The 19848-nt window shown below is 35.9% G+C and overlaps 1 long non-coding RNA gene across 1 annotated transcript in view; it reads right to left on the bottom strand.

The window, feature by feature from the left end:
• LOC105376195 (uncharacterized) overlaps positions 1-19369 on the bottom strand; it is a 30633-nt gene extending 11264 nt beyond the window's left edge. The window contains exons 1-2 of the long non-coding RNA XR_930202.4: positions 18600-19369; positions 486-673 (exon numbers count right to left, since the gene is read on the bottom strand). This is a non-coding gene — a long non-coding RNA (uncharacterized LOC105376195). The remainder of the gene's footprint in view (positions 1-485; positions 674-18599) is intronic.
• Positions 19370-19848: the final 479 nt, after the last annotated feature.

Below are 19848 nucleotides of genomic sequence, written 5' to 3'. Positions count from 1 at the left end.
TAAAAATGTATTAAACATATTAAAATGGTTGCTGAGGAGGGAATGGATAGAAATGGGAACAAGGATATAAGGGGTTAAATAAATTACAATGCTGGGGACGTGTGTAATCACTGATGACACTATGTCTCCAACTGACGAATATGATTAGCTCAATCTTCTGCAACCTGAGGTCTGGAAAAAAACTACAAATAAAATAGAAAATGTGACATGACAGCTAATGAGAGAAATGAGAAATACACATGGTTACTAAAAAATATAAAGAGACCTCAAAGTTCACCAGAGTCTGCTAACAGAGACAGATATATACCAGTTCACCACACAACAAGCCTGTAATATAAGGTTCTCACCTGAGACAGTTGCTGTCATACTTAGCACAAAAAGGCATGTGGAAAACACAGCTGGTTTTCCAACTCAACCACAACTCTCAATCCCCTGCTCATTTATTTGATACCCGTAACAGAGGTTGAAAAATACCATGTACTTACACTTCCAACCTTTCGTGCAGTTAGAGCTGCCAGTTCAAACTATTTTTGACCAACAGGATGTAAAGAAAATTTTGGACGAGTCTTTGTTTTCTTGACAAAATTCAAGTGAAACCTCTTGCTTTATGCTTTTCTTCTTTTCCTGCTTTGATGGTAGGTGTGATTGCTGGAACTGTGATACTATTTTATCACTATGAGGCAAAACATATAGAAAAGAAAAGCTAAAACCTGATGGTAGGAAAGCGTAACACACAAAAGAGCCTGAAACCTGTGATGACATCATTGAGTTACTGCACCAGTACTAGCAACAGTCTACTGCCAGTCTTCTTCTTATCTGAAGGAACCAAATCCCTATTTATTTAAATCATATATAGTATGTTATTCTGCTACTTCCCAACAGAATCAAAACAATAGATTTAGAAATGTCTGGCCTATGGAATATTGTGGGACAGGTGACCCTCCAATCAAAAGAAATGTCAGAAATGGACTGAAGTGTCAGAAATGCCAGAATAGCCCATGATATTCTGGGAAGTGAGCACATATGCTACCTCAAGTGTTCCTGTTTTTTTTTTTTTATCGATAGCTGGTATGAATAGAACTGCCTCTATTAAAAGATGGTTATACTTAACATAGGAAGTATGGATAGATATTAGAAAAAAGAAAGGAAACATAAATGAAGGACAAATGAAAATTTACATGGAAAGAAGAATTTCTTTGGGAAGCTGGAAATTTTTGACAAAAAGTCTCCTTGCTTTGAAATAAATTAAGGAAAGCAAAGATTTGTGACAAAATTTCAGAAGAGATACAAAGAGAGCAAAAAGCAGTTAACACATCAGAACACAAGCAGTAGATAGAAATAAGCTGGTGGAACTCAAAAGAAATGCAGCAAAAGAGTAGAATTATAATCAACATGAAAGATTGTTTAGAGGCAGCCCAAAGCAGAACTCATGGAGGACAAATACCAATCGTGAATATAGGAGATTGGTTTGAAAAACAGTCATTCAAAATAAAATACAAACAATGAAAAATATCAAAGTAATTAGACTCTGAAAATAGAAAATGGGAAGTGGTTGTCTGGGTGGAAGGGGAGACTTGGCTAGATGAGAGCAGGAGGGAAATCGCTGGACTGATGGAAACATTCTGTATCTGGTTTTGTGTGATGGTTACATAGTGTCTACATTTGCCAAAGTCAACAAAGTGAAGATGTAAGATCTGTGCATTTTGCAGTATGTTAATTAGATGTCAACAAAAAATATGCAAAAGTGATTAGAGAAAATAGTAGATATGAATCGCAGAAAAAGGCGATCTGAAACATTCAACAATTTATTTGTTGAATTTCTTTTATTTGTTGAGTTTATTAAATTTATTTTAGACAAAGTGTTCAACAATCCATAGGAACAAGAATTTCCCATAATAAAAAATCAGAATCTGCACAGGAAAAGAATACACTATGTTCTAGGGACAATGAGCCCCAAATTATTAAGATGCAGATATAGCCTGCTGAATGTATTTAATAAGGACAATGGAAAAGTCCTATGACTTTAAAAAAAACCATGTATCTTGAAAATTGCACACACAATTTCTCAAAAAATAAACCTAGATTCAAAAAAACAACTAAAACCCAAACTGAAGAAAACCTAAAAAAATTACTTTAAAAACATACCGTATATTAATACATATGAGGTATTGCTAAAACGGGGTTGAGAGAAAATCTTTTCCCCTTCAACATCTTACTAAGGGCAGAAACATGTAAAACATCTTCAACTCAAAGAGAAAATTATGTAAATAAGTAAATTGATAGATAAACATGCAAAGCCAAGAAAAGCAAAAGAAACCAATAAAGTTAAAATCAGGAATTATTGAATTGGAAAATCAACTAACCAGCCAACAAATGAAAGTCTTTAGCAGAACCAATACACACATTCAGAAACTTACCATTAAAAACAGTACAACAAAATACATAAATCATTAAGTACTCTAACCAAGGATAAAAACATACTGATTAAAAATAGGGATGAAAATGGGAAAATAATTACAGATATACAAGAAATGTATAAAAAGTTTTTTGAGACTTAACCATTGTTTGTCGAGTTATTGCAAATGGATGTTTTATAAGAAGCAAGTTCTTCCTGCGCCCTGGTTTATTTGACCAGTCTGGGGATTTTTGTTGTAATAGAAGAGTTCAAACTATTTTTTATCATTATCACCAATAATTGATAACATATATTGAACATCTATTTTGTGCCAGGTATCCTGCTACACTCTTCTCATACATCATAATATTTAATTTCCAAAACCTCACTATGAAGCTGTTATTAGTTATATTTCATTGATTCTGAGACACCCAACTTTCTCACATTTTACTGTCATTAAGATTGTGATAGGTCTCACAATGAATGGCATCATGCAATTATCAGATATTTTTCCTTTTTATAATATATAAAAATGGTGCCACTTATAATCAATGACATACATCTTAGATTAAATGAAAAAGATAGTAACCATTTTATAAGTGAAGAGACAGAGCTAACAAGGTTTAACAACACACACAAGGTCACACTGAAGGGGTGTCAGCACAAGTCAGCCTCACACCGAATCCCTTCATAAGGGAAACACTTTGTCCTTCATTATCTCATTGTAATGACAATCACAATCTATGCTTTCTTGCTGTATCATTCATCTTCTACATTTTGTTCTATTTATTGTGATTCTTTTACTTATATTCTCTGCATCAGTTTGGAAGTGACTCATTACATGTCAACAGGAATCAACAATAAATGTGTAATGCACATTTATTATGCACCAGGTTTTGTGTTTAAAAGTACATAGAAAATAAATGCTTAATTCTCCCTGTTGAAAATAATAAGGGAAGAGACTTCCTTCCCTTTGCTTAGAGTATTTATTTACTTTAGAAAACTTACAAGTTGTTTCTCTGTCTCTTTGTAAGTCGTTAAAAGCTAAATTAGCCTCTTGTCTGCTGTATGGTCCAGGAATTCCTTCTCGAGGACCTGGGAACTATTTCTTTGAAATGCAATCATTAAGGAAGACAGCATCCCTATCTACCAGTTTCAGTGGGAGGGGAGAAGCTTATCTTTGGTAGATGCCTTGCTCTAAGTGGCAAAACTGCCTCCTGTGATAAAGATATTAGAAATTTATTTTTCCTTTGGATAAAGTCAATTAGCTAACAAGATGGTCACCCAATTACCAAATGAATTTAGAATGAATTCTGTGTGACAAACTGTGCCATCATGTCCTCTTACATGAGGACTAGTTATAGTTTGTCTTGAGAGCATGTATGTAATGATTTGTTTCTGCTTGGTAAGATTTCTTTCTGCTTTTGTAATCTCTTAGCAAAATGCATGTGATGTGCATTGAATTCTAATTTAATGCTTATGCAATAAAAATAGCTTTCTGTTTCTTCCACTTTTGTGAACATTTCTGGGTTAGGAGGAGATTTTGTTTATAATTACATTTTCAAACTGTAAGGACTAAAAGTTAACTAGTAAAGAGTTAAATAATTGTTCGGAATGATTTGATTATGCAAATTTATTCCATCACGATGGTCACATCAATTCGTGCTTATATACATGATTTTATGCTTCCATAAGTATGTCTAATATTACCCCTTTCCCCTGTAACTAAGCATTTAAAAACCAGACAGCTGCTGCTTTGTTGAAGAAAAGGTGGTGAGTTGATCCATGGGGCACACAGTTGGCATTGATGTTTGCTGAATTAATATGCCACGTGCACCAGCTGTCATGTCATTGCCAAGATTGTAAGTTTGAAATGATCTAAGAATTCTGCATTCAGGCTGTTGAAAAGCCTGGCACCATGATGGATGCCTGAGGAATGAGCTCTACCTTCCACCAATATCACACGTCATGCTTTTTCTTTATAGTTCCAGTAGTTGAAAGTTTATTAATATTTTATTTTTGTCAATTTTAGAAAAGAGCTCAATTTGCAACTAAAATATCTGGGAGAGGGAGGGTTACAGGGCAAGACACTTAAAGAGAAATCATACACAGAAATGAGTTCTGGGTTGTGTGACCCTGTATTCAATCAGGATGCAGAAGTCTTGCTGCGCTGCACAAAACTTTCTCTGGTCCACTTTAGATAAAAAAGAGACAAACAATCACATCATTTAGTTCTCATATTTTGTTAATATTTGCAAAGCCCAATTTTAAGGTTTATTGGAAACTATATTGAGCTTGCTTCTTTCTCTGTTCTTGATTGCATAGCTGTTATTTTTTCCACTTTGCCTTTGGTGACTTTGATTATTAATAACCACAACACATAAACCAACTGCATGAGTAACCATGTGCCTTTTCCCCTCTTTAGTTAAAATGTGATTGAGATAATTATTGGTTGGGGTCTAAAGAGTGGAAAAGATATAATGTAAAAATTAGTGTTTTTAGTACGGTATGTAATAATTTGGACAACAGGAAATGCCATTTGCTGTTTTATGTAATTGAACCATGAGGGCTGGCCAGAGCCCTGACTGCAAGACAGGCAGAGGCCTCAGCAGCTCAACTGGTATGAGTTTAAGTGGAACTGGTCCAGCTGTGGGGCCTGGCTCCTTTAAGTGATGCTGAGTGGTCTAAATTAATTTCTGAGTAGAGACTGAGTGAACTTGAGGGGAATTTTTGGAGGGAGAAATTATAGGCTTTAGTACATGGTTGAAATGAGAGATGCACAAATGGGTAGAATCAAGAGTAATTCCATGGTATTTCCCTTGGGTATCTAGCTGAATGTTGCACTGTTAACTAAGGTGCTGTCAACACAGGAGAAAAATAGGTTTAAATGAGGGAGATACTAAGATTGTAGCTGGACAGTTTATTTTTCTTCTTAAAGACAAAATAAAAGCCTAAGGAGTATTTGGAGGGGTAGATACATTTAGGTGGTAGGTATAGTACCTACTTAGGCCGTGTTAAGGCTTATATCACATGGATTAGGAGAAGAATGCACCCCTCTCCCAGTTGCTCAGACCCAAACTTAAAATCATTTATGTCTCCTCTCTTTCTCTTCCAATTCACATCCAATCCAGTAGCAAATATGTCAGCTCCTTATATATCCAGAAATGAAACTTTGCTGCAACCACCCTGGTCTAAGCATCAATTCTTGTCTGGATACTAGCCTCATCCTTCCCCTAGTAGCCAGGAAAGTTTATTTCCACACAACAGACAGATGGATATTTTAAAAATGTAAGACTGTTTAAAATAGTTTCTCATGTCACTCAAAAGTAAAAGCCATAGTCCTTTTCCACATGGTCCTATGCGGAACCATAGGCTGTCATTCTGGCCCTTATTTTTATTTGCGACTACTCATTGCACTCCAGTCACATTGGCTCCCATAACAAACTCCATTAACAAACTGGGGGCCTTTGTACTTCTCACTCACTTTCCCTGGAATGCCCTTCCACAGATATTTTATGTTATTTCTCTTGTTTCATTCAAGTCTTTGCTCAATTATCACCTGCACAGATCTTCTCTGATCATTCTATCCAAATAGTACATGAGTCATGCTGTCATGCTCTATCCCCTTACTTGATTTATTGCTTATAGCCCTTACATTGTCATTATTTTGTTTTTGTTTTACTTGTTTATGTATTGTATTTATTCATTATCTACCTGTCTGTCTGTCTATCTATCTACTATCATCTGTCTATGTATGTATGTTTATTGTCTGCTTTCCTCTAACAGAAAGTAAACTGTGCAAGGATGGGAACTTCTTTTGTGCTCACCACTGTTTTACCAATGCCTAAAACATAGCCTGACACATAGATGCTCTATAAATACTGGATGAATCAATCAGTCAATTCACTCATTTAATAAATGTGCCAGCAATGACGGCAGATAATGGATTCCCATTCATTCAAAAGGTGAAAATATATAATATACATCACAGTTTAATGGAAAGAACAAGAAATATGAATTCAAGAATATTTAATTGATTTGGGAAAGTTAAGCTTTATTAATCCTTGCTTATCATCTATAAAATGAGGATTAAAATGATAATGCCTCATAGATTTAACACAGAAATGAGCACTCATGTATATAAAATGTTCAGCATGTTTTTGGCATCCATTTAGTTACTCAAGCGATTGTAGCTATTATCATTCGAGATATTGTCACGGCCCTGAAGGAGTTCACATTCTTGAAAAGACCAAACATATAAGTAGGATTACAACACAGTGTTAAAGGAATTTTGATAGAAAAGAGCACATGATATAGGTGATATTCAAATACTTGATAGCTGGTAGAGTCAGGACACTGATCAATCAGAAGGGAAATTGGCTTTAAAATCCAGTCAGTGGTTATTCTGGTACACACTGTTCAATTATAAATACTGGGAATGAGCCACAGATGAGAGATACTCTACTCTTCTAGAAAAAAATACAGATGCGCTATCAATTCAGATAATCCTCCCATTGGCCCCAGTAACTCAGGAACTATTGGCCTGATATTGAGCACTGGCCTTAAACTTATGCCTGATTCCTTCTCACTACTAATTTGGTTTGGAATGAAATATTCCAGAATAGGCCAATGGGTGTTTATCCTGTTCCCTGAGTTAACCCCTGTGACGTCCTCTTGGTCTGATTTCAATATCCAATTGAACCAACCCTCAAAAGAAATTGCTCCAACTTTTGGCTTTTGGCATCACACCTTACTATTATTCCCCACATGGAGTCTGTGTATACTGTCTCTCTCTTTATGTCCATACAGGTGTCATCTTTTTTTTTTTTCTCCCTGGAGAATGACACAGTCCCTGGGACTTGGAATCTGTAGATAAACCAGCCTGAGTTTGCCTGCCTCCTTACCCAGACTTTGGAATATTTCCCATGTGTATTAGCATTCTCTAAAGGGACAGAACTAATAAGATATATGTATATATGAAGGGAAGTTAATTAGAATTGACTCACACAATCACAAGGTGAAGTCCCATGATAGGCCGTCTGCAAGCTGAGGAGCAAGGAAGCCAGTCCAAGTCCCAAAACCTCAAAAGTAGGGAAGCTGACAGTGCAGCCTTCAGTCTGTGGCTGAAGGCCCTGGCAAATCGCTGATGTAAGTCCAAGAATCCAAATTTGAAGAACTTGGAGTCTGTTGTTCGAGGGCAGAAAGCATCTAGCATAGGAGAGAGATGGAGGCTGGAAGACTCAGCAAGTCTACTCTTTCCAACTTCTGCTTGCTTTATTCTAGCCGTGCTGGCAGCTGATTAGATGGTACCCACCCAGACTGAGGGTGGGTCTGCCTCCCCAGTCCACTGACTCAAATTTTAATCTCTTTTGGCAACACCCTCACAGACACACCCAGGAAAAATACTTTGCATCCTTCAATCCTATCAAGTTAACACTTAATATTAACCATCACACCCTCCACCCATCTCCTCTTCTCCTTTTGCTAGCCTTGGTCATCCCACAGGACATTCCATTCAAACCAGCCCTGAGAGGTGGGAAGAGAGTGAATCCGTGGTTGGGAAGGGCAGTCTCAGACAGTAACTAAACTGGTACAAGCACTTGGGAAAGGGTTAGGGAGAGAGGAATGCATATGGGAACAGTAGAAAATGATTTTTTTAAAAAGAAATTATTAGTAACTATGTCACAAATACAGTATTATGTTATACAGGTAATTCCAAAGTGTGAGTATGTGTGTGTATACCTATGTATTTCAATTAAATTAATTTGACTATAACAATTCAACCCAAGCCAACAAAGTTATTTATTATAACTGTAGTCTGTATATGAATGTAAGGGATAATATTTACAATCCTTTTAGTATCAAACCAAGCCTGTGCCTTTTACACATCTACGCTGTCCTGATGCCAGCTAGCCAGTACCCAAATATAAAGAGCTCTGAACAGTAAAACCCTGTTTAGAATTAAAATTCTTCTCCTTTGATCAATGTTTGGACTTCTTAGCTGGCTCCTGTGTTCACCAAGATGCTGAACTCTTGCCTTGCTTACAGCTAGGATCCTAATGCTTACTCTTCAGAACTAAGTGATGACATATACATATTGGCTTGGCTTTTGAACCCTGAATATCCTTCTTAGATGTGGCATCTGGTTCCTCAGAGTATCTGACGCTCCTTACCCAGGTGCCCCTAAAGATAATTTGTAATGAGGATTCTGTATGAATTGAATTATTCTAAATTGCTATAAGGTTTACTCCTAAGTATCTTCACCATTATTCTACAAATACTCCAAACTTTTTTTATAGTATCCGCATATTATACCTGGAAATATCGATTATGGAAAGCAAAAGAAAATGTATTCTGGGTCCACATAGAATTAATGAGGTTTTCTGATATACATTTTAGTCTCTTAATAAATACTCAATATTTATTCATCATTGACAACAAGATCTTCATAGATAATGCAGGCAAAGGAAAGTCTCGAATAAAAAATAGTTCTAAAATAAAAATTAGAGGTCAGAGAAACCAAAGGTCAAAATCTAAGAGGTATATGTTATTAAAGAGTCATGTTCCAATTTTCACACTGTAAAAGTAGTAAAAAGTAAAATCAAAAGGAATGATCCAGCATATTGGATTACTTGTTCATAGAAATAATGGCAAGAGAAAGGGGATTAGGACAGTTCAAGGGGTCTGTGAAGGGGCCAGAGAATGAACAAGAAATATTTCCTGTTCTTTTCAAGGCAAAGGCACTATTAACTTGACAAATGGCTAGTTCATGGTTGTGCTGTTGATCACATATATTTATAGTGTCAGAAAGAAGTGGTGTGACAATGAGAAATAGGGTAGTTTGAAACTGTGGTTAGCAAAACAAAGGCAGAAAAATAAATGAAAAATTGTCTAAAAGTTTCCAAGATAATGGGGAATAAAGAATCCATGGCCATTTGCCATCACCTAAAGCTCCCTAGCATTTGGCTATCAAAATCAATAGAGTTAAATTTATCTAAGAATACTACCAGCACCCAAAGTTGATAATTTCAAAGGGAAACATCTAAGAGCTTAAATTCATTGAAAAGATTATGCCAAGAGCTTTTGATGAATACTTCCCCAGTCTTAAAACATATTTCCCTAAGCTAGAGTTTGGAGGGATAAGATAAAAGGCAAAGTGAACTGGGGGATCCTAGAAATAGCAAAACTGACAGTGTTAGGAGTATGGCAAGATCTGAGACAGAAATGACTGCAGACACAGAGGCAGATAAACTATACATAGCCTTGAAGAAAAATGTTCCATGTCCTTAGCATGAAACTAAAGTAGCAAAGGAAGTGCAGAGGGTTCCTAGATATGGTTTTGAGTACCCATGGGGTGCATGGGTAGCTGAGTCCTCCACGGCAGAGCAGTCATCCTTCCCTGTACATATGCCTGGGGTCTATGATGCTGTCTATATGGTCTGTCAATTTTTGATGTAGACTTGTATTCATCAGCAGTTTGAAGACCTAGAGAACTTCCAGCAAGGACTTTATCCTTCATTACACCCTAAGACATTGCCCAGTCCCCATCTGACTTAAGCAGTGTAGATACTCGTCAACCATATGTACACTGTCCAGTGATGCCCACAAACTTAGGAAGCAATGTAGGCTCTCATGGATGAAGGAGAGGGAAGTACTTGCTTTGGGGGTAAGGTTGAATATGCATTCTAGTGACATTTTTATTGAATCTAAAATGGCGCTCCATAAATGATGTGTTGATTGTTATCATCATTATTATTTTATTTAATGCATTCTGTTTGTCATTTTGGGAAAAATAATTTTTAAAATAACTCCTGAAGGTATTGAAGTAGAGAAATACATAAACCAACTGAATTCATAGTCAAGGCTCTGATGCTCAATGACCAGTCTTCCTCACAATGCCATGTCAAAATAGGACTTGTCTCTGGCTGGGCTGGCTTTTAGCATGTTATGGATCTAATAGGCAAAAAATTATTTTTCTAGGCTTGATTAATATTTACATTACACTTCTGGGAAACATTTTGCACTTCACTTGTTACAACTTATTTTATCTATATGTTTTATTCTTTTTTATCTTTATGAATATAATAATGATCTAACTGCCATACCTGTCTCTCTATGTTCCCTAAGGTTGGTTGAAATGATGTGTTCGGCTAGCAGTTGTCCACTGTGTCCTTTAATGGTCAAACCTTTCTTTCTAAAGCTGCACTACTGACTGAAGGGATAACCTTTTTTATTCATTCAACTAATGTTTATTATAACCCTGGCCTCATGGAACTTAAGAGTCTGTTGGAGGGGATAGACAGCTGAATTAGTCAAACTGATTATTATGCAATTAAATACCTATGTGAACTAATGTTAAATTTTTGAAAACTTAACAAACTATATGAAGGGAGATTCCCAAGACTATAGTAATGCATAATGGAGGGCGCTCCATCCATCTCACTCCATCCAGGGGTGAGATGGTCTTCATTAAAAGCTTTTTTGAGGAAGAGTTATTTGTACTGAGATTAAAAGGATAAACATGAGTTTAATAAACCAGGGGAGGGGAGGGGAGGAATGGGGATTGAGAAGACCATTTGACCATTTGAGGACAAATATTTTGCTAGATTGCAGTTTGATTTCCCAGCAGTGAAAACGGGGGTTTTATATTGCTGATTTTCATTAATTAATTCAGCATGGATTTATTGAACACTTATTGCAGGCCAGAGGCTTTACAATATACGGGGAATACAATGATGAGAAAATAGCTATTCCCTTGGTTGTTTATTTATGCAATCACTTATTTGTTTAGCTTGCAGTCTAGTTAGGACAGACTAATTAAATGATAACAAAATAAAGTATAAAATTTCAAATGCAACAGTGCTATAATAGATACAAGATACATTTGTAATATATAATAGGAGTAAATCTTCTCTGAATTGATATTCTTAAACTAGTAGTTGAAGGATCTGTAGGTATTAACTAGGAGAAGAGGAGAAGAAGTTAATTTTAAGACAAAATAATAGAAGGTCAGTGTTAGGGAAGAGAGTACCAGAGAAAGTATGGTATAAAGTGAAAATGGAGAAGTTGGTAGAGGCTAAGCCATGCAGAGTGTTATAAGTAGGATGTGTTAGTCTGGGTCCACCAAGAAGCAGAAGCCCAGACAGGGTCTTATTAGGGCGAATGGCTGTGTGAAAAAAAATAGGAAAGGGTCAAGGAAATCTGGGAGAACCTTCAGACCATGCAATAACTTGAGTGAAGCATCTTAGACTGATATTCAATCTAAGGAAATTTCGATAAAGGTTCAATAAAAGGATATCTGGCACCAAAGTCCACAGACAATGGAGTACTCTGTCTCCTAAATTAGGTCTGCCTTAGTATTGTTGGAGAGCTGGCCATGTGTAGTATGGCTTATGGAGGCAAGCAGAGATTGATTTCAAACATTAGCAGCTTTGAATGTTTCTGATTGCACCTCTGTGGTCACTTAACATGTTCTTCTGAGTTTATAATATCTTTAAATTGGTAGTTATGTCTACCAACAGGATGAGATTAAAGATATATTTTGACAAGTATAGCTTTTCTCTTAATGTTTGTAAGGATATCTTTTGATAAACAGACATTTTATATTTTGCTGTATTCAAATCTGTCAGTATTTTCCTTTTTATTCCTTTCTTTTGTTTACAATGTTTTATCTGTGTCTATACAGCTTATTTAACACTTTAGAGCATATGGACTTTAAACTGCCTGTGTTAAATTCCTGTCCCTCTAACTATATAACCTTGGATACTTTTCTTAATAAAAAATAATATTTATTGTAAAAGAACTGAAATCACAACAAACAGTCTCTCAATACCACAGTGCAATCAAATTAGAACTCAGGATTAAGAAACTCACTAAAAATCACACAACTACATGGAAATTGAACAACCTGCTCCTGAATGACTCATGGGTAAATAACAAAATTAAGGCAGAAATCAACAAGTTATTTGAAACCAATGAGAACAAATAGACAATGTACCAGAATCTCTGGGATGCAGCTAAAGCAGTGTTAAGAGGGAAATTTATAGCGCTAAATGCCCATATCAGAAAGCTAGAAAGATCTCAAATCAACACCCTAACATCACAATTAAAAGAACTAGAGAAGCAAGAGCAAACAAATCCAAAAGCTAGAAGAAGACAAGAAATAACTAAGATCAGAGTGGTACTGAGGCAGATAGAGACACACAAAACCCTTCAAAAAATCAATCCAGGTGCTGGGTTTTTGAAAAAATTAATAGAATAGATAGACTGCTAGCTAGATTAATAAAGAAGAAAAGAGAGATGAATCAAATAGACACAATAAAAAATGATAAAGGGGATGTAACCACTGACCCCACAGAAATACAAACTACCATCAGAGAATACTATAAACACCTCTATGAAAATAAACTAGAAAATCTAGAAGAAATGGATAAATTCCTGGACATGTACACCCTCCCAAGACTGGACACATACACCTTCCAAACCAGGAAGAAGTCAAATCCTTGAATAGACCAATAAAAGTTCTGAAATTGAGGCAGTAATAAATAGCCTACCAACCAAAAAAAAGCCCAGGACCAGACGAATTCACAGCCAAATTCTACCAGAGGTACAAAAAGAAGCCAGTACCATTCCTTCAGAAACTATTCTAAACAATCGAAAAGGAGGGACTCCTCCCTAACTCATTTTATGAGGCCAGAATTATCCTGGTACCAAAACCTGACAGAGACACAACAAAAAAAGAAAACTTCAGGCCAATATCCCTGATGAACATCGATGCGAAAATCCTCAGTAAAATACTGGCAAACTGAATACAGCAGTACATCAAAAAGCTTATCCAACATGATCAAATCAGTTTCATCCCTGGAAAGCAAGGCTCATTCAACATACTCAAATCAATAAATGTAATCCATCACATAAACAGAACCAATGACAAAAACCACATGATTATCTCAATAGATGCAGAAAAGGCCTTTGATAAAATCCAACATCCCTTCATGCTAAAAACTCTGAATAAACTATGTACTGATGGAGCGTGTCTCAAAATACTAAGAGCTATTTATGACAAACCCACAGTGAATACCATACTGAATGGACAAAAGCTGGAAGCATTCTTTTTGAAAACCATCACAAGATAAGGATGCCCTCTCTCACCACACCTACTCAACATAGTATTGGAAATTCTGGCCAGGAAAATCAGGCAAGAGAAAGAAATAAAGCATATTCAAATAGGAAGATAGGAAGTCAGATTGTCTCTGTTTGCAGAGGACATGATCCTAATCTTTAGAAAACCCCATTGTCTCAGCCCCAAAACTCCTTAAGCTAATAAGCAACTTCAGCAAAGTCTCAGGATACAAAATCAATGTGCAAAAATCACAGGTATTCCTGTATACCAACAACAGACAAGCAGAGAGCCAAATCATGAATGAACTCCCATTCACAATTGCTACAAAGAGAATAAAATACCTAGGAATACAGCTAACAAGAAACGTGAAGGACCTCTTCAAGGAGAAATACAAATCACTGCTCAAGAAAGTAAGAAAGGACACAAACAAATGGAAAAACATTCCATCCTCATGGATAGGAAGAATCAATATCATGGAAATGGCCATACTGCACAAAGTAATTTATAGCTTCAAAGCTATTCCCATCAAACTACCATTGACATTCTTCACAGAATTAGAAAAAAATACTTTAAAATTCATATGGAACACAAAAAGGGCTGGAATAGCCAAGACAATCCTAAGCAGAAAGAACAAAGCTGGAGGCATCATGCTACCCGACTTCAAACTATACTGCAAGGCTATAAGAACCAAAATAGCATGATACTGGTACAAAACCAGACATACAGACCAATGGAACAGAATAGAGAAATAAGACCACACACATCTACAACCATCTGATCTTCGACAAACGTGACAAAAGCAATGGGAAAAGGACTCTCTATTTAATAAATGGTCCTGGGAAAACTGGCTCGTCATATGCAAAAACTGAAACTGGACTCTTTCCTTACACCTTATACAAAAATTAACTCAAGATGAGTTCAAGACCTAAACATAAAACCCCAAACCACAAAAATTTTAGAAGAAAACCTAGGCAATACCATTCAGGATATAGGCATGAGCAAAGATTTTACGATGAAATTGTCAAAAGCAATTGCAACAAAAGCTAAAATTGACAAATGGGATCAAATTAAACTAAAGAGCTGCTGCACTGCAAAACAAACTACTATCAGAGCAAACAGGCAGCTTATAGAATAAGAGAAAAAATTTTCAATCTACCCATCTGACGAAGGTCTAGTATCCAGAATCTACAAGGAAATGAAACAAATTTACAAGAAAAAGACCACCCCATCAAAATGTGGGCAAAGGATATGAACAGACACTTCTCAACATAAGACATTTACATGGCCAACGATCATATGAAAAAAAGCTCAACTTCACCGATCATTAGAAAAATGCAAATCAAAACCACAATGAGATACCACCTCACACCAGTCAGAATGGCAATTATGAAAAAGTCAAGAAACAACAGATGCTGGGAGGCTGTGGAGAAATAGGAATGCTTTTACATTGTTGGTGGGAATGTAAACTAGTTCAACCATTGTGCAAGACAGTGTGGGGATTCCTCAAGGATCTAGAACCAGAAATACCATTTGACCCAGCAATTGCATTACTGGGTATATACCCAAAGGAATATAAATCATTCTATTATAAGGATACATGCACACACATGTTTATTGCAGCACTATTCACAATAGAAAGACACAGAACCAACCCAAATGCCCATCAATGATAGACTGGATAAAGAAAATGTGATATATATACACCATGGAATACTATGCAGCCACAAAAAGGAATGAGATCATGTCCTTTGCAGGGACACGGATGAAGCTGGAAGCCATCATCCTCAACATACTAACACAAGAACAGAAAACCAAATACCACATGTTCTCACTCATAAGGTGGGAATCGAACAATGAGAACACATGGACACAGGGAGGGGAACAACACATACTGGGGCCTGTCGGGGGCTGAGGGCAAGAGAAGGGGGAGCATCAGGGCAAATAACTAATGCATGTGGGGCTTAAAACCTAGGTGACAGGTTGATAGGTGCAGCAAACCACCATGGCACATGCGTACCTATGTAACAAACCTGCACGTTCTGCACATGTATCCTGGAACTTAAAGTAAAAAAATTAAATATATATATTTATTGAGCTCTTACAACATACTTAGCCTAAGTTTTATTTCTTTGATGTTGTTTCTGTTTTGTTTCTCTTTAATCTTCTTTTGCTTTTATCTGTGGTATATTTTTTCCATTCTTATGGAGTGAATGAAGGGCAATGGGTTATTTTCTATATGAACAAAGGGGAAAAAGGGCAATGGGTTATTTTCTATATGAAATTAGGGGAAAAAGTTTTTTAGTAAAGATAGTTATCACCTTACTTTTTAGAAAAGATAACTCTAGTATCAGTATAGAGGGAAGTCTTTATAAACAGGGCGATAATTGAGGACACTATAACAATAATCTAGGTAACAATGAAGGCTTCATCCAGGACAATTATTGTGGGAATAGAAAAGAAAGGATGGGTATAATATTGGAAAAGTTAGATTCAGAAGGATATATTTTTGAAGTACTACAAATAACTAAGCTTATTGGCTGAGGAAGAGAAGAACACCTTCATAGGCTTTCTCAGAGTTTTCTAAACTTTGTAACTTAAAAAATATATCATTCATTTATAGAAGAAATAAAGAGGTATAAGCAGAGTTCTGGCAGAGTAAGTAATAGTTATGATTTTAGATATTTTAAAATTGAGGGGACTGAAAGTAATCTAGGAAAAGATGTCTTGGGGAACTTTAACATTTAAATCTAAAGGCTGAGCACAGTGGTTCATGCCTGTACTTTGGGAGACTGAGAACTTTGGGAGGCTGAGGCAGGAGGGTCACTTGAGGCTAAGTGTTTGAGACCAGCCTGGGCAACATAGCAAGACCCCATCTCTACCAAAAAAAGTTAGCTAAGAATGGTAGCAAGTGCCTATAGTCTCAGCTACTCAGGAGGCTGAGGCAGGAGGATCACTTAAGCCCAGGAGATGGAGGCTGCAGTGAGCTATGCTCACACCACTGCACTCTAGCCTGGGCAATAGGGTGAGAACCTGTCTCAAAAAAATCTTTTAATAAAAATAAAATATTTTGTAAAAAATCTGAAGTTCAAGTGTTAGAGTGTAAAATGACACTTAGGAAAATACCAACATGTAAGTGATAGAGATGAGAGCTGAATTTATACGAGTAGATGATTTGAAAACAAGAGTGTATACGTGGAAAGGAGAGGAAAACCAATAATAGACCCCTACGGAAAAGCAACATGTTGAAAGATGAAGAGAGAAGACCAGAAAGAAACACAGTGAGAGAGAAAAAACATTATGTAGTATAGTGTGATGGAAGCCCTGGAAGAAGAAGTATTTTCAACAGCAGGGAAGCAATATTACTGTCAGGGACTTCAGACTTCACACTTCACTTTACTCTCATAAAGTAAAAATGAAAGGAGCTCACCCACTGGATCTGGAAAATTGAAAGTAATTTGAAAATCTTAGCAAGAATATTTTAAGAGTCCCACTGATAAGGACAAAAGGACATTTTCCTAAAATTCTTGCCCCAGGTCACAAGGGCTAGGGCTGATTTTTTTTGCAAATGAGCTAAGGCATTATCTAGCCATTATACTTCTATGTACTTCTGCATGTGGAGCCTGAAAAATCCCCATCAGCCACGACGGCTACTGGGAGTGCTGTTGTGTTCAGGCGATGACAGCATCAGCCATCACCCAGGATCATCTCATTCATCTTGAATCCTACAACCACTGTCCCTGCGGCATAGAAGATATTCATTGGTTCAACAAACATTTACTGAACATCAGCTCTATATCAAGCATTGGAAATACAAAGATAAATAAGACTTGGTTCCTCCATATGAGCTCCTGTTTGGCTAGTCAAAGAAACAGATGTGAGCACATTGGGGAACTGATTTTTCATTCTATAACAACATAGCCTATCAGGTAGGAAGCAAGGATATATTATTAAAAAGCCGTATATCTACTTATTTGATGAGCTTAAATCTTTTACAACTAGAGTGGTATCTTTTTTGCTTTTTGTAGTTGAATACAAATAGTTGAAATGTGCCCTTTCATGTCAAAAATACCTATATAATCAAAGTAATGTATTGAAAGACAGACATCTTCACTGCAAATTCAATACCTGACTCGGATCTTCTCTGTGATAGTTGGTAGATGCTAAATTATTATTAATTTTTGTCTATACAAAGCCAATAAAATAATTTTTATTCTGTTTCTATACAGAGAGCCAATAAAATAACTTAGGTGTAAATATTTGATTATTTATATTTAGTTTACAGCAACTATACCAAATATCTGACATGCACACTTGCAGTTGTTTTCTTCTGCACCTGTGGCTGACACTGCTAATTAAATATGACTCTCTCTAGTCATAGATGTGGACACACAATCCTTTTCAGCACAGTGTTCCAGGCAGCCATTACCAGTCAAATGACAATGGGACATGAAATATATTTGTCTTCCCTGATCTACATGGTGTTAAACATATATTACAACATAAATGGCCTAATCAATCAATCATTTTAAACAAAGACAAAGCCTATTAAATATATATCTCCCTACTACATATTTAGGGAGCTCCCAAATACAGCTAGAATTTATTGGTATTTTACTGTATATTAGATACTTTTTAAGTAGTTTCTTTATATTAACTCATTTATGTGTCATAATACTCTAAATTCTATGCCATTGTCAAACCCATTTCATAGGAAGAAAATTGAAGTGCAGAAAGACTGAGTAACCCCTGTGCCTCTCACATATCTACTAAGTAGGAGACTTGAGATTCCGTCTGGTTTCTGAGCCCATGCAATTAGCCAGAACTACAAACCGAATCCATGGAAAGATGTGCCTGAAAATTACTTTATTCAGAAAATTAAGGATAAATTAATTATAACATTGTAATTGGTGCTAAGACATTGTATATTTTTAGGAAGTGTTCTTGGAAGTTAAACCACAAGATAAAATAGGCAGGTGCATCTACTAGATTAATGTATACTTTTTGCTCATATGATAGGTTGTGCTGAAAGCACTAGATAAAAAAAGAGGAGGCATTGATGCTAGTCTTTGTGTTGCTGCTTACCTCTTCATGCCTCAGAAAAACAGTATTCATAGCATTTCAGGGAAACATATACATGTATCCATTGCTGGTATCATGGTCAACCAAAGTGATATTTTTGATACTGGTTTGGTAATAAATGTCTTTAAAATATTAATATTTCCTGATCCAGCAATCCAACTCTGAAAAAAATCCAAATAAATATTTCAATGTTTCCGTAAAAAATAAAGAACTTGTACACAGATACTTATACAGCAAGATTACTGTAGTAACGTAAAGTTGTAAACAATAATATGTCCCAAACTAAGGTGATGTGGAAATAACTACTGTAAATTTATTATTACCCTTTTCAGTATCATAGATTTAGGTGTTAATAATAGTATAAAATAACAGTTATAGTAACATAAGGTGCCAGGAGTAAAGAATAATTGGAATAATAAATTTAATGGGTTAATTGTAGATGAAATGAAAATTGTAATAGTGAACCAAAATGATTTTATGTCAATAAATCAATGAGGAATGAGAATCTTCCAAGTATTTATCAGTGCATACATAGATGGGAAATTGCCAGAGAATATAGCTGGTTTAAGTAGGATTTCATTAGCATTGCTTAACCAAGAAAATTCTTCCAGAAAGAATTACAAGTGATTGTTCTGATGCCAGAAATCCTAATAATGATAACTTTGACTTGCAGCCAAAGTAATATACTTAAATTAAGATGCCAGGAATTTCCCTCATGACCTATTATACTAGTTATTTAATGCTTCAGAATGGACAATGGACCTTGCAGAGTGACAAAGAGGGAAAGTCAAGTCACTTCAGGCAGAAGGGGTAATGTGTGTATCACAGTCCCATTATTGTGCATAAAATGTCTAGGAAAAAAATGAATTATTTAAGATATTCCATCAGAAGTTGTGACCAGAGTCTCTTAACTTTTGCAAATAAGAAATTAGGGCAATTTATTACTTTAATATATCCATTGAACATCCATTATGTGCTAAACACTCTATTAGGCTATTCCCAAGTGTTATCTTATTTAATCCTCATAATAACTTTACCCATGTATTCAACAAATAACCATAAGATAATTATTATTATTTTCCCATTATAGACAAGGAAAGTAATACTCTGAAACAATAGGCAACATACCAATGTAAGAGCAACTATATGCTAGAAGTATTTACAATCAGATTTGCCTGATGCCAAAGCTCTCTCTGCTAGTTCATTTTGCTTCTTAGATGAATGGAGGGCTCCTTTTTGTTCCTATGCAGTA

Source organism: Homo sapiens, chromosome 9, assembly GCF_000001405.40.
Source record: "Homo sapiens chromosome 9, GRCh38.p14 Primary Assembly".
Lineage (NCBI taxonomy): Eukaryota > Metazoa > Chordata > Mammalia > Primates > Hominidae > Homo > Homo sapiens.
This window is presented reverse-complemented; position numbering and strand designations above follow the sequence as displayed.